Source organism: Homo sapiens, chromosome 7 (assembly GCF_000001405.40).
Source record: "Homo sapiens chromosome 7, GRCh38.p14 Primary Assembly".
In the NCBI taxonomy this organism is placed as follows: Eukaryota; Metazoa; Chordata; class Mammalia; order Primates; family Hominidae; genus Homo; species Homo sapiens.
The window spans coordinates 77,310,136-77,323,811 of record NC_000007.14 but is presented as its reverse complement, the minus strand read 5'-3'; the positions used below and the strand labels follow the sequence as shown (position 1 = coordinate 77,323,811).

General features: G+C 39.1%; 1 protein-coding gene across 22 annotated transcripts in view, besides 1 other annotated feature; it reads left to right on the top strand.

Annotated features, from left to right (window-relative positions):
- Positions 1–13,061, top strand: part of GSAP (gamma-secretase activating protein) — a 105,880-nt gene extending 92,819 nt beyond the window's left edge. For 13 of the 22 annotated variants that reach the window (NR_146938.2, XM_047420491.1, XM_047420493.1 and 10 more), the window contains 8 exons: positions 70–165; positions 2,409–2,479; positions 2,993–3,087; positions 9,323–9,442; positions 10,263–10,324; positions 11,610–11,711; positions 11,872–11,971; positions 12,363–13,061. Coding sequence is in view for 19 of the 22 variants with exons in the window: in XM_047420491.1 (XP_047276447.1) it covers positions 70–165; positions 2,409–2,479; positions 2,993–3,087; positions 9,323–9,442; positions 10,263–10,324; positions 11,610–11,711; positions 11,872–11,971; positions 12,363–12,454 (738 nt within the window). In the remaining 3 variants the exon portion in view is untranslated. Of the gene's footprint in view, positions 1–69; positions 166–2,408; positions 2,480–2,992; positions 3,088–6,067; positions 6,257–9,308; positions 9,443–10,262; positions 10,325–11,609; positions 11,712–11,871; positions 11,972–12,362 lie in introns of those variants that run through there. The other 9 variants (XM_047420494.1, XM_047420487.1, NM_001350899.2 and 6 more) reach the window with 6 other exon arrangements.
- Positions 7,219–7,720: an enhancer, noted in NCBI's record as "NANOG hESC enhancer chr7:76945409-76945910 (GRCh37/hg19 assembly coordinates)". NCBI's record gives its function as "activates a minimal SCP1, AML or CMV promoter by ChIP-STARR-seq in naive H9 embryonic stem cells {active_cell/tissue: H9 hESC(naive)}" and the evidence as "EXISTENCE:reporter gene assay evidence [ECO:0000049][PMID:30033119]".
- Positions 13,062–13,676: the final 615 nt, after the last annotated feature.

Genomic DNA, 13,676 nt, shown 5'->3' with positions numbered 1-13,676 from the left:
TCTAATTCAAACCAGTTGCAGGTATGAGTGGGTAGGCTGTGACTTATTTAATGCATATCCTGTTTTCAGATGGTGTCTGAGCTAAAAGACCATTTTTTGAGACACCTACAGGGTGTAGAAAAGAAGAAAATTGAACAGATGGTTCTGGACTACATTTCAAAACTGGTTGGTCTTGCTTTTTATTCTCCTCATATGCCCCTTCACCCCACTCCCCATATAGTTCTGAAAATGTGGTGCAGGGAACCCATTTATGTGTTTTTCAAATTAGATTTTTGGAGATCTCCCGTTCTTAAATCAGTATTTGGTGCTGTAGATTGAGAAAAGGGAAATAAGGACCATAAACAAAGAGCATTTGGTTTGGAAAGTGGTTTATTGCCCTTCCTTCAAATACTGATTATATACCCATGGATGCATAGGACAATGAATTTAGTATGCTTGCCAAATGTTAATATCTCATCTTGGCAACTTCCAGCTCCATGTAGATGATTTCTGTACATGGAGGTTTATGCAGACAGGAGAGAACTTGAACTTCAAATCTTAATTAGTTCCAGTAGCCTAAGTAGGCCAGATTCTAGCTCACTTGTATTAATACTACCATGTGAGGCTGAGATTGGCAGTTCCTTACCTGGTAGCCACTTACTGAAATTTTGTGATCCAGATTAGTAACACCACTGTATGTGTAAATAGTAGTGATAGGACTAGATTGAATTTTAAGGTTGTCTTGAGTCTTTCAAAAAGCATAGAGAGTTGAGGCCTGATCTTGCTTAGAGTCTAGAAATAATGTTTGACAAATTCAAAAAAATGTTTGCACAGAAAGAGAAAGAACACTCCATTATTTCTCCAAATTTGTATAAGACCAGTATGCAAATAAGCCAGTGTGTGAACATATATTTTTCCATTGAACTCTGGAAGATTTGTTAAATTTATTAGCTATAATCCTGATTTAATCATTTCATGTTTAATTTTCAAGTTTTCTGCCTTTATTGCAGCCATTAGTGTTGTTTCTACGTAATATATTTGAATTTCTATAGTAAGGTTTGAGTTTCATAGTATTTAATATATTAGGAGAGGTTAGTATTCTCATGTAGTGATATTTATAATCAGGGATTTGAATCTTTCTTAAGTCTCCTTCTCAATAGCACTGTACCAAGGAACTCACTTGATGAATGTGTTACTGATCCTCCCCATGTTGACATTAACTTGCTTTAAAAAAAAAAAAAAAAAAAAAACTCACAACACACAGTGATTTAACACATCCACCTATCACCTTTATTTCTGTTGACTCGAAATCTTACTTCCCAAAGTGCTAAGAAGGGTTTCCATTCAAGCGTCATTTTTCTCCATTGTTAATAACATAAGTTTTAACACTAGTTTGTGTTAACAGCCTGTAGAACCAATAGGCCCAGAAACGATACATATGAAGTCTCAGAAAACTCAAGGTCCCTGACATTGACTCAGCAGTCACTGATTGAGGCCACATCTCCCTGCCCCTGCCCAGCAGCCACTAGTCATGCCTTCTGCTCCCCTCTAAGGAGAGTGGCTGGCATCCTTTCTAAAACATATCCAAGGAAGTTGCTGCAGAACCTGATTATATTGGTTACATGTTAACTTACTTAATTTCAGCCAAAGAGAAACTGAGGATCTGTATCAAGGATAGCGTTTGCCTGTGAGTCTATGGAGATCCTTCTGCTTTGCCCCGTTTTTAGCCCACACAATGTGTGGATTCGTGGCTGATAACAACTCCATAGGGACTGCTCTTCTGCTGGCAAACTCGTTGCAGCGTTAGAATGGGTTTCTGGATAAAGCTCTAAGACAAAGAAGGCTACCTACTTTGGTTGATTAGTTCCAGTCAGTGTGCTAACCAATTCTTACAAAAACCCTATGAAATATTTCCCCTCACTTTACAGATGAGGACACTGCAATTTGGAGAGGGTGGGTAACTTGTGTAGGGTAACACAACTAGTAATGTATAGAATCTGGACTTGATACCAGTCTTACTTCACAGCTCATGATCATGACCTCCATTCTGTGTCTCTTTTCTTCTGACTGTCCACTGTTGGCTCTTGCGTTGTGACAGGCCTGGAGCAAACCCTGTAGCACTTTACCTTCACTGATGGATGGGGGTCTGTAAGTGTGAGTGGTGGGGCCAGTTAGCTGGGCTGGGGAGGCTGAGCTGGGGCACTGCCCACACAAACAGAGGATGCTTTGTTAGTTTCTGGTGCACATTTTCAGTCTTTCTATTTTGGGTTCAGTGCTTCAGAATTGACCTCAGAAAGGCTAGTTGTGTGTCTGGATGCAGCCTGAATGCCAGCTGCCCTGAAATGCTTATCTGAGTTGTGGAGGCCTAGCTGTGGGGCCCTTGAGGGAAGGAATGGAGCAATGGTTAATGGACTGTCTTCACCCTCCAGCTGGATCTCATTTGCCACATCGTAGAAACCAATTGGAGGAAACATAATCTTCATTCCTGGGTTCTCCACTTGTACGCAAGTATTTCTCACTTTTATCATGGTGTACAAAGAGTGGAAACAACTCTGTTGTAGCAAAACCCTTTTGAAATGCACTAGTTCAAATCAGTTCTCACCAGCTTCAACACCATCTAGCTTAATTCTATACTCAGCATTTAAAGTTATGCCCCCCTGCATATGTACCCTTTAATGTATAATAAAAGCTAAAATTAAAACAAAGTTATGCCCGTTACTTTACCCATCCTCTTTCCCTGGCACATGGTTGGTGACAGGGGAGGGACAAATGAGCCCAGTACTGCCAAGAAGGGGAATTTCACTTAATACAATGTGTAACATATGTTCCTACTCTGATTAAATTCTAGGCATTAGGCCGATGGTCACATTCATATTTATGGGGCTTTCTACAAGGCATAGCATTTCATGATTAGCATGAACCCTTGTGTAGTACTCAAAGCCACTGCTTAGGACAAATGGAGCATCACAGATGAGCTCCTTGGCTGACATGCTGCTTTGTTTTTTTTACCCAGCAATAGTCGTGGCAGTGCTGCTGAATTTGCAGTTTTTCACATCATGACCAGGATTCTGGAAGCTACAAACAGTTTGTTTTTACCTCTGCCTCCTGGTAAGTGTTGGCTCTTTTGTCCTTTGGTATAATAAATTTATTTCTTCTTCATATGGGCCCTTGCCTTTGGTACATTATAAGTTTGATGATGAGACTTGTGTATGAGAAATTGTGTATCTGGTGTTACTGTGAGTGATGGGCCCTTAGGTTGGTCTCTGCTGACCAGAGCTCCTCTGACTACTAAACTATGATGTAGCTTATTACTAACTTTAGGGAACCTAGGCTTACCCCATGCAGCTTTCTAGGATAATTTGAACTAGTAGAACTAATTCAGGGAGCTCTGTCTCTGATGTCTCCAGGCCTAGTTTATCTGATTGAGATGTCTGAAGATTAACACTGGGAAGTCGGTCTGGCTTGGTGCCAAGAATTGAACTGATTCTTATACGCTTGGAGGCTAAAAAATTCCCTTGGAATTTTTAAATAGGATCAAGTCAGGCCACAAAACATCCTGGGGAGATGTATATGCAGTCATTCATTTAATTGGTCATTTGTTCATTTAGTCAACAAATATTTGTTGAGCAACTATGACATGACCGGTAACGTGCTAGAAATTAGAGCAATTACAAAGATTAGTAAGAGTCTAGTTGGGAAGATGTACATAGAAATCAGTATCCATTATGAGAAATAAGCCCCTGTTAGCTATAAACTGTCTTGTGCTCATTACATATCAGTTCATTTTTTTATTGTGTAAGAACACTTGAGACCTACCCTCTTAACAAATTTTTAAATGCACAATACAGTATTGTTAAATATAGGTACAATGTTGGATAGCAGGTCTTTAGAACTTACTCATCTTTCATAGCTGAAACTTTATACCCATTGAACAGCAATTACTTATCCCCTACTCCCCGGTTCCTGGCAAGCACTGTTCTACCTTCTGTGTCTATGAGTTTGACTACTTTAGATACTGCATGTAAGTGGAATCATGCAGTATCTGTCCTGTGACTGGCTTGTTTCACTTAGTGTAATGACCTGAAGTTTCATCCATGTTGTCACATGGAGCAGGATTTCATTTTTTAAGGCTGAGTAATACTCCATTGTAAATTCTACACTTTCTTCATCTGTCAGTAGACATTTAGGTTGTTTCCCTATCTTGGCTATTGTGAATATGTTGTGATAAACATGGGAGTATATACATATCTCTTCAAGATCCTGATTTCAGTTCTTACAGATATTTATCCAGAAATGAGATTACTGGATCATATATTGATTCTTTTTTTTAAATTTTTTGAGGAACCTCCATACTGTTCGCCACAGTGGCTGTACCACTTTACATTCCCACCAACAGTGTATAAGGATTCCAATTTCTCCACATTCTTGATAACACTTAAATTGTGGTTTTTTGATAGTAGCCAACCTGAGAGATGTGAGGTGATACCTCATTGTGGTTTTGATGTGCATTTCCCTGATGATTAGTGATGTCGAGCATATTTTCACATAAGTGTTGGCCATTTGTCTGCAATCTTTGGAGAAATGTCTATTCAAGTCCCTTGCCCATTTTTTAATCTGGTTGTTTTCTTGCTATTGAGGTTTGAGTTCCTTATATGTTTTAGATATTAACTCTTTGTTAGATATATGGTTTGCAAACACTTTTTGTCATCCTGTAGGTTTTGCCTTTACTCTTTGGATCGTTTCCTTTTATACATATATATTTTTATTATTATACTTTAAGTTTTAGGGTACATGTGCACAACACACAGGTTTGTTACATATGTATACATGTGCCATGTTGGTATGCTGCATCCATTAACTCATCATTTACATTAGGTACATCTCCTAATGCTATCCCTTCCCCCTCCCCCCACCCCACAACAGGCCCAGGATCGTTTCCTTTGCTGTGCAGAAGCTTTTTTGTTGGGTGTAGTCCCTCTTACATATTTTTGTTTTCATTGTTTGTGCTTTGGATGTCATATTCAAGGAATCATTGCCAAGACCAATGTCAAGAAGCTTTCCCTCTATGTTTCTTTTAGGGGTTTTTCAGTTTCAGGTCTTATGTTTAACTTTCTAATGCATTTTGAGTTGAATTTTGTTTATGGTAAAGATAAGGGTCCCATTTCATTCTTTTGCCTATGGACAGTTTTTCCAACACCATTTATCAGAGATACACGATCCTTTCCCCATTGTGTGTTCTTGGTGCTTTTGAAGATTAGTTGCCTAAACATGAATGGATTTATTATTGCATATAAAGTTCTAATGAGTGTTAAACTTTATGATAGCTGTAACTACATATCAGCTGATATTTAGTTACTTCATTCATATATATTCATCCATTCATCATTTGTTCATTGCTTCATTTTAGGCCAACATATATATGATACTCATTTTGTGCCACGTACTGTTGAAAGTACACACAAATTAGTACACTTAATTTTCATAAAATTTTAACTGGTAGAAACTTAAGTTGGACCACATTAAATTGTCAGTGCCCAACCATTTTTTGGCCAACAAAAATGGCACTTTCATGTGGTTCCACTTAATATTATTCCCATTTTATAGATGGTGAAACTGAGGCCAGAAAGGTTGAGTAATTTGCCTAAAGTCACATAGCTATTAAGTGACAGAGCTGATATTCAAATCCAGGCAGTTTGGCTCCAAAATCCATGCTGCTTCTTGAATTTTATATTCCAGTTGAATTAGTTGATGTTGAAACATGGGCTATTTATGGGCCTAAAGAATCCCTACAGCATATGCTGCTCTGCATTTATGACACATCTGATACGGTTTGGAATCCTTCATTCTTCATCCACCTTATTTAATGTCTGTCTGTATGGCAGTACAAAAGGAGTTGAAAGGGACCATTTGTGAGGGGAATGGATGGTTTAAAATTATCCCAATGGAATATGAGTTATGAGGTACACCCTAGAAAGATTGAAGGATTACAGGAAAACTACCTTTGTGGCTTAAATTCTTAATTGTTTGTTGTTAACACAAAAAATTTGGTAGGGAAATGGATTGACAGTTTTAGATTTGTTCATTACAGATATTCAAGCTTCTTTTGAAAATAAATGAAACTGACTTACTGGGGACATTGTTACGCCTGGAGATCATAAAAATCCACTTTCTACCCAACTCACATTCCTTCACAGTGATAAGGAGGGAAAACAAAGATGTTATCCATAGTGATCGAGAATTATTATAAGTAGACTTATGGCTTGTGTCTGTGGGTCAGGTAAGGAAAAGGTGTTTCTCATTTTTTTAATTATACTTTAAGTTCTAGGGTACATGTGCACAACGTGCAGGTTTGTAACATAGGTATACATGTGCCATGTTGGTTTGCTGCACCTATTAACTCGTCATTTACATTAGGTATTTCTCCTAATGCTATCCCTCCCCCAGCCCCCAACCCCACGACAGGCCCCAGTGTGTGATGTTCCCCCCCAACCCTTGTCCAAGTGTTCTCATTGTTCAATTCCCACCTATGAGTGAGAATGTGTGGTGTTTGGTTTTCTGTCCTTGGGATAGTTTGCTGAGAATGATGGTTTCAAGCTTCATCCATGTCCCTGCAAAGGACATGAACTCATCCTCTTTTATGGCTGCATAGTATTCCATGCTCTCTCCTTTTCTCTTGAATGTTTATTTCCATCATGTGACATGGAAATAGAGGGGGGAGGTGACACTGGATCATGTGTGTGTGTGCATGTGCATGCTTGTATGAATTCAGGGTGTTTCTATATGCACATGCGTAAGTGTGCTTGCTTTCCAGGCCTATTGGACTAATGATGACTGTTTGAGTTACGATTGTCAGAGACTTGTAACATGAATTGGTTAAAGTTAAGAAGAGAATGGGGAACACAAAAAGGAAGTCAGGGTTTAGAGCTAGGGCATTTGCTTTTAAAAAAAGGAACTGTATTGCACTTGCTGGCTAGAGGAGGCCAGGAGCCCTGGAAGATGAGGATTAAAGTTGGGTGGAGCTGATGACTAATTATAGCCAATTTGCTCTGTTGCTCAGAGCTGATGTATAGAGGCCAAGAACAGGTCCCTGAACTTGGGACTGTGCCCTGGGGATAGAGGATGAAGGGTCATCAGGGACCTTTAGCATATGAACACAGGGCTGGAGAGGGAAATTTGAATCCAGAAAATCAATATCATCAATAATCTAGTGTAAACTTTTCTTCAGAAATAATTTTGTAACTTTTTACTAATAGTTTTGTGAAGAATTTCCAAATCCATTTGAAAAACGTTGTTGTTAATTAACTAGTAAAATAGTGGAGTTTTTTTGGACTCAGGGAAGCTAGTGGACTCATCCTGTTAGCCCATTAACACATGCTTGTGGGCAGAGCCTGTACTTCATCTGACCCTTGATGTTACAAGGACTTAGGACTGTGCCCCATGGCTTGTGATTCATGTGTTTAGAGAGAGAAAATCCCATGATTTCTCTGAATCCAAGCCCTGCTCGTTGGGCATCATCCTTTTGTCAGGTACCTTCCCAAGAGTAGGCTATGATTCTTCTGTCAGTCATTCCCACATTCAATGAGTTGCAAAGCCTGTACATGTTACCATGCCTCTCTGATTCAGTGCCTCCATTACCTCTTATCCACGTTCAGGCAATAGCTTCTCTACAGGTCTTCATACCTTCTGTAGCAAATTATTACTCCAACTCATTCTTTGCCTGTTGCCATATTAATATCCCAATGGTAAATCTTCTGTTCTGCTTAAAAACTTTCATTACCTCCTCAAAGTCTCTCAAATTAATAAATCTCTATCATTCAGCATTCAACCTCTGTCACCTGCACTCATAAGCACAGAACTGGTCACATTTTTAAAAATGTCTATTTTTTGTAATTGATTGTCTGCCTCCCCCAGCAGACTGCAAGGTGTATGGGAGCAGCAGTTGTGCCTGTTTTGCTCATTTTTATACTCTTAGCCCCTTGCCAGGTGTGTGGAAGGGATGTGCTGAATAAATTAGCTTTTCCAACCTTACCTCTTAATCTTTCTCTCCTCTAATATGATTCCAACCCAGCTGGATCATTTACTATTTTCTGAATATGCCCTGTGCTTTCTCATCTTCGGACCTCTGTTCATGTTCTATTAACACAGCTGCCAGTTATTAACAGTGACATTATGGTTGAAAGCCTACCCTACAATCACACAGTTGATGCAAATTTCAACTTACACATTATTATTTCTGTGATCCTGGGCAAGTTGCCTAGCTCCTGTGAATCTTGGCTTTTGGTTTTTCCATTTATGAAATGGGAATCTAGTAATTCCCACCCCATACTTTTGTATGAGGATCAGATGAGCCAGGACACAGGTTGAAAGCCTTGGTACATGTCCAGTATGGGTCGCTATTGTTATATTGCATGCTAGGCTCTTCACAGACCTGGCTCTAGTTCTCAAAGCAGCCCTGTGGGAAAGGTACTGGTGGTTCCAATTTAGAGATGAAGAAATGGAGGCTCAGAAAGGCTTAGTTGCCTGCAGCTGGTGAGTAATACAGCTGGATTCTGGCCTAGGGCTGCTCATGCCAAACCTGGCTTTTTCTACTGTCCGCACTCATTTCCACTGATAGGAATTGCATCTGTCCTTTGAAGCTCCCCGCAAATGCCATCACTTCCAAGAGAGCTGTTTTGATTCTCTCCTGGTCTGATACCTTCTCCCATGCATGATGTTTTTATCTGTTGTCAGTAGTAGTATACTTAGAGATCTGGGTTTCTGTGGGTAGCTCTACCCGTGAGACAGGCTTGAGAATGCCTGCCTCTCAATTGAATTCCTATAAATTTACTATCTGGCCATATTGTCTTAATTCTTTCTTTTCTATACTTTAGTCCAAGTAGACTCTAAAAGCCTTTCTCTAGGGCATACCCAGAGATAAGCCATATAAACTATTGCCTTCTGGTCCAAATTTGTTTCCCTTCAGCAAAATGGTCCTCATCCCAACAACCTTTTAGTCTGGACATACGAAATCTGAAATGCTTCTGTACTCTTTTGCTATCTTACTGTAGAATCACAAACATATCAAACCGTAAAACCATTGAGCAGGCCCTTGCTCTGTTTCTGTGCAGGAAGAGACCCAAGGAGCAAGGAATGTATACTTACCGGAAACTTACTATAGACCCAGCGTGATATTTAGTTACGAATAATACAGAGAAGGAAACTTGGACCTTGTTTTCAAGAAATTCAGTTGGTTCCAGGCACCAAGCACTGAACTAAGTGCTTTATTAACATGATCTAATCCATTCCCCGGGGGCTGCTGGAGATGTTGGCTGACTGTGTTTACCCTCCAGATCTCTCATCCTAGGTTTTCATACTCTGCACACCATCCTCGGGGTCCAGTGTCTCCCTTTGCATAACCTGCTGCATTGCATTGACAGTGGAGTGTTGCTTCTCACTGAAACAGCTGTCATAAGGCTCATGAAAGGTAAGAAGCCCTGAGTTTGCCAGAGTGCTAGTTCCAGCCTGAGCACCACCAAGGCTAGCTTCTTGGGTGTGCAACCTGTGCAGTCACCAAGAGCCTGGCTGCACTCAGAAGAGTGCCCTGCTCAGTTTAATGCTGCATTACATCTTGAAATTCTTAGTAGTATTTGAACGAGGGCTTGCTCGTGTTCATTTTGTGCTGAGCCCCACAAATTATACAGCTGGTCCTGTGAGCACAATCCATTCCCTGTAATCATCTTTTGGGCCAATTTAAGGTTTCTGAGCCCTTCACGAGGTCCTAAGGGACTTTTCAATCCACATACAACTATTAGATTCCTTTTCTGTGCAAGAGGGCACTTGAGGCTAGGAACCTCTGCAGGCTTGTTTCTCAAGAAAATGTCACGAAATGGCTTATTTTCAGCTGATTAACTCTGTCATCTCAAAGTTAGACTAGAAATGCAAGGAAAATTATTGAGAGGGGCAATTAAATGAATTTGAACTTTAAATTCTGTAGTATAATCACTCAAATTATTCAATTGTATTTTAAGATGATTTTTGTTTATATGAAAGCATTTGTCATTCCTCAAGGTACCTTCTGTTTTAAGTTAGTCAATAAAATTGCTTTGTACCTGGCAGCCTGTTATAGAAAAATCCCTTTTTATTCAGAGAGTCAGAGTAAAATTTCCAAAATGCTGTTAGATTAGCTTGAGAATACACAGTTGGGATATGTCCTATCAAGATGAACCACTCAAGTATTAATATTAACTTGCTAAAGTATCAAAATGGGTATTTGTTTCATTTGCTAATCTCTAACTTTCTTGTAGATCTGGATAATACAGAGAAAAATGAAAAACTGAAATTCAGTATCATTGTGCGGCTTCCTCCGGTAATACTGAGTTACATTTTATTTTCTCCCTAAGCTTTGGCATTACCCTCCTTCAATTTCTTCTTGCAAAAAGAGCATTTACTTGCTTTGGGTTAAAGTCAATTGAATTGTTTCACTTTTCAACACTTCCAAGAAATCCCACCCGTCCCCAGCCCTCTGTTAGCTGTTTCCCACTTGGCCTACAAAGCACTTGCTCTCTGGCTCTGCACTGCCTTGGCACAGTCCAGTGAGAACATTAAGCCATTTTTGCCTCTTAGGAAACCACACTAATATTTACATCTGAGTCTGAGAGGGAGGGAGAAGGGGAAACGTGCTTTTGGCATTTAAACAGATTTAACTTGGATACATTGGAATACAGGTGAGGACAGAAGGTTCTAGACCTGTATTTCCCCTTACTGCATTTCTACCATGGTAGGAAGACATTCCTAGGTCAAAGGAAGAATGAGAAACATGAGGGAATATCAACACTTAGAGTGAGAGATACTATGAAAATATGACATGGTAGGAAGACATTCCTAGGTCAAAAGAAGAATGAGAAACACAAGGGAATATCAACACTTAGAGTCAGAGATACTATGAAAATATGAAATTCCACAGCAAGGTCTTCCGAGCCTCTAACTCTGCAAACTTCCTGACCTGGAGAGCCTTAGCCAGCTCCATCTGCTGTGTACATGCCTTGCACACTTGCACCTCTGGCACTGTCCTCTCACGAACGGCTGTCTGTTACCTTTCTGGACCTAATCGCCCTGCTCTGTAGTGGCCCTTGCCCCTCACTCACAGGCTTACTGAAGCAAAGGCAAGAATAGAAAACAAAGCATATTTTCCATAGCTAGATCTCTCTGGGAAACATTGCTGAATATTTAATTTGGTCTCCAAATTTGTTTATTTCCCCAGTACTCTTAGGGAATTAAAATTTTCTAGGCAAGACAATGGCAGAGAAGTTGATATAAACATGCGTACCCCCCTTAGTTTCCGGTCAAAACATCAGAGTTGGCATGCCCATCTCTGGTTTTGAAGAGCAGCAGATAAACTCCATTTCAGTAAAAGGGTTTGGCAACATCAGTGTATAAACCACTTTCCTCAATGTAGCGTTTGAGAGAGTATTTACTCCCTCATAGAAACTTCATAGGAACATGGCATTTCTCCAAGGGTCCTTAATCATCAAGGGCCTGGAGACTAACCAGCTACTTTGGAATAATACTTTTAAAATTATGAATAGATATAAGGTGTGTTTACTTAATATAGTGTGTGGTATTCGCTACATTTTTTTCAATTTGCATAATAGCTTATTGGGCAGAAGATTTGTAGACTTTGGGATCATCCTATGAGTTCTAACATCATTTCGCGGAACCACGTGACGCGACTGCTTCAGAACTATAAGAAACAGGTGAGTTTCTCTGAAAGCACAGCCAACTAAATGTTTTTAGGATCCTGTTTGCCCGTGACAACATATCTGTATGGACAGCAATTACAGTTCTTATCACTTTATTTTAAAATTGTGCTTATTGTGGAGAATCAGCTTACACCAGAAGTGGTTTCCCTTTTAGCCTCGGAATTCTATGATTAACAAGTCATCGTTCAGTGTAGAATTTCTGCCTCTGAACTACTTCATTGAAATTCTGACAGATATAGAGTCCTCCAATCAAGGTAATTTACTCCCCTGTTCTCAGGGTCTTACCACTTTTCCCTTGACACATCAGTCCTTCCCTATTCACTTCTTTGTCTTCTTTCCAAAATCCTTTTAACATACAAGTAGACCCTTATAGCAATTGGTTTACATTAGCAGTACCAAATTTACTACCTAGAGTAAATTACCAAATAATCACCTCTGAAGTTTTAAAAGAGTCAAGAGGTTTAAAGCCCATTTGGTTGATGCAAATGTTCTTGGTGCTGAAGTTTAAATTTAAGAACACATTCTTAAAAAATTCATTTTACTAAAATACAATTATGATTTTAATGAGCTGTGAGCACAAAGTTATAAATGTTTCACGGACCCATGGTAACCCTTTTTCCCTGCCCTCTCCCCATTTTTTTCCAGCCCTGTATCCTTTTGAAGGACATGACAATGTGGATGCAGAATTTGTAGAGGAAGCAGCTCTGAAACACACCGCGATGCTTTTAGGCTTATGAAAAAGAAAACGCAATTGGATCTGCTGCTGCCATTTTAATCTTGCTCATTAACCTTACTCCTTTGAGAATTCTTTAACAATATTTAAAATTGGTAACAAAAATAGTTTAGCCATAATTGTTTAGCCATGTGAGTTTCAGGTTGGTACACGTTCAGACAGAACTGCTGTATCACATTCCAATTTTGAATAGCCAGTGAGCAATCAAGTGTAGAGAAATGATAAATGGCCTAAGAAGGCATACAGTGGCATAAACGATGCTCTTCCTAGTAGCTTAATAGGCCACAAGCTAGTTTCTGTTGCACTCTGAAATAAAATATGCTTTAAAAATGTAGGGAACAGTGCTTAGAAAAGCAAAAACTAGGTGTGTCATTGAAATAATAGGCATAAAAATTAAATGTTACATAAGAACACTATTTGGAAAGAGGGTCCTTTTAAAAACTGAATTTGTACTAAATCAGATTTGCCATGTCCAGTACAGAATAATTTGTACTTAGTATTTGCAGCAGGGTTTGTCTTTGTGAATTCAGATGAAACATATTTATTTTTTTTTATTTATAAAAGGTTGATTTAGGAATATTTTGTCAGTCATTAAAAAACCTGAAAACATAGTTTTGGCCTGACTTTCCCTGTTTTTTGAATGTAGCCTTCTTATTGAAGCCAAGAATCATGCGTCTATGAACATTTTCTCCAAAGGCCCCCATGTGACACCTAACTCATTGTACCATTTCTTTTTTTCGCTTTTCCATAGTGATTTCATTCTAACCCATAAATACAGTTGCAGCCCAAGGTCAGCCCACAACCTTTTGCTTTTCTGTCTTCAGACTGAACTTGAGATTTTAATGATTATAAATATCATTAGCTGGTATGATCATTCAACTTCCTGTCTAAAATCATTTTGTTCTAAAAATTGTCCTCTCTCATAGAATTACCCTTTTTGGTCAAATACTTCATTGTTACCAATACTCAAAATCTTGGAGCCTAGTCAATGCAATGCTGATTCTTTCTCTTGATAAGGTCATTATCTTTCAATCCCTGCTTTCATTCATTTCTTTGCATACCTGGATTGTTTTAGTTGCTCCCTAAGGTCTAAATTTATCTGAAACATATTTGAGATAAACACTAGTTTGATCTGGTCACTCTGCTCATAATCCTTTAATAACTTGCTATTCATTATAGGATAAAATTCAAACTCCTTGACATTCAAGGTGTCCCAAATTCCTGCC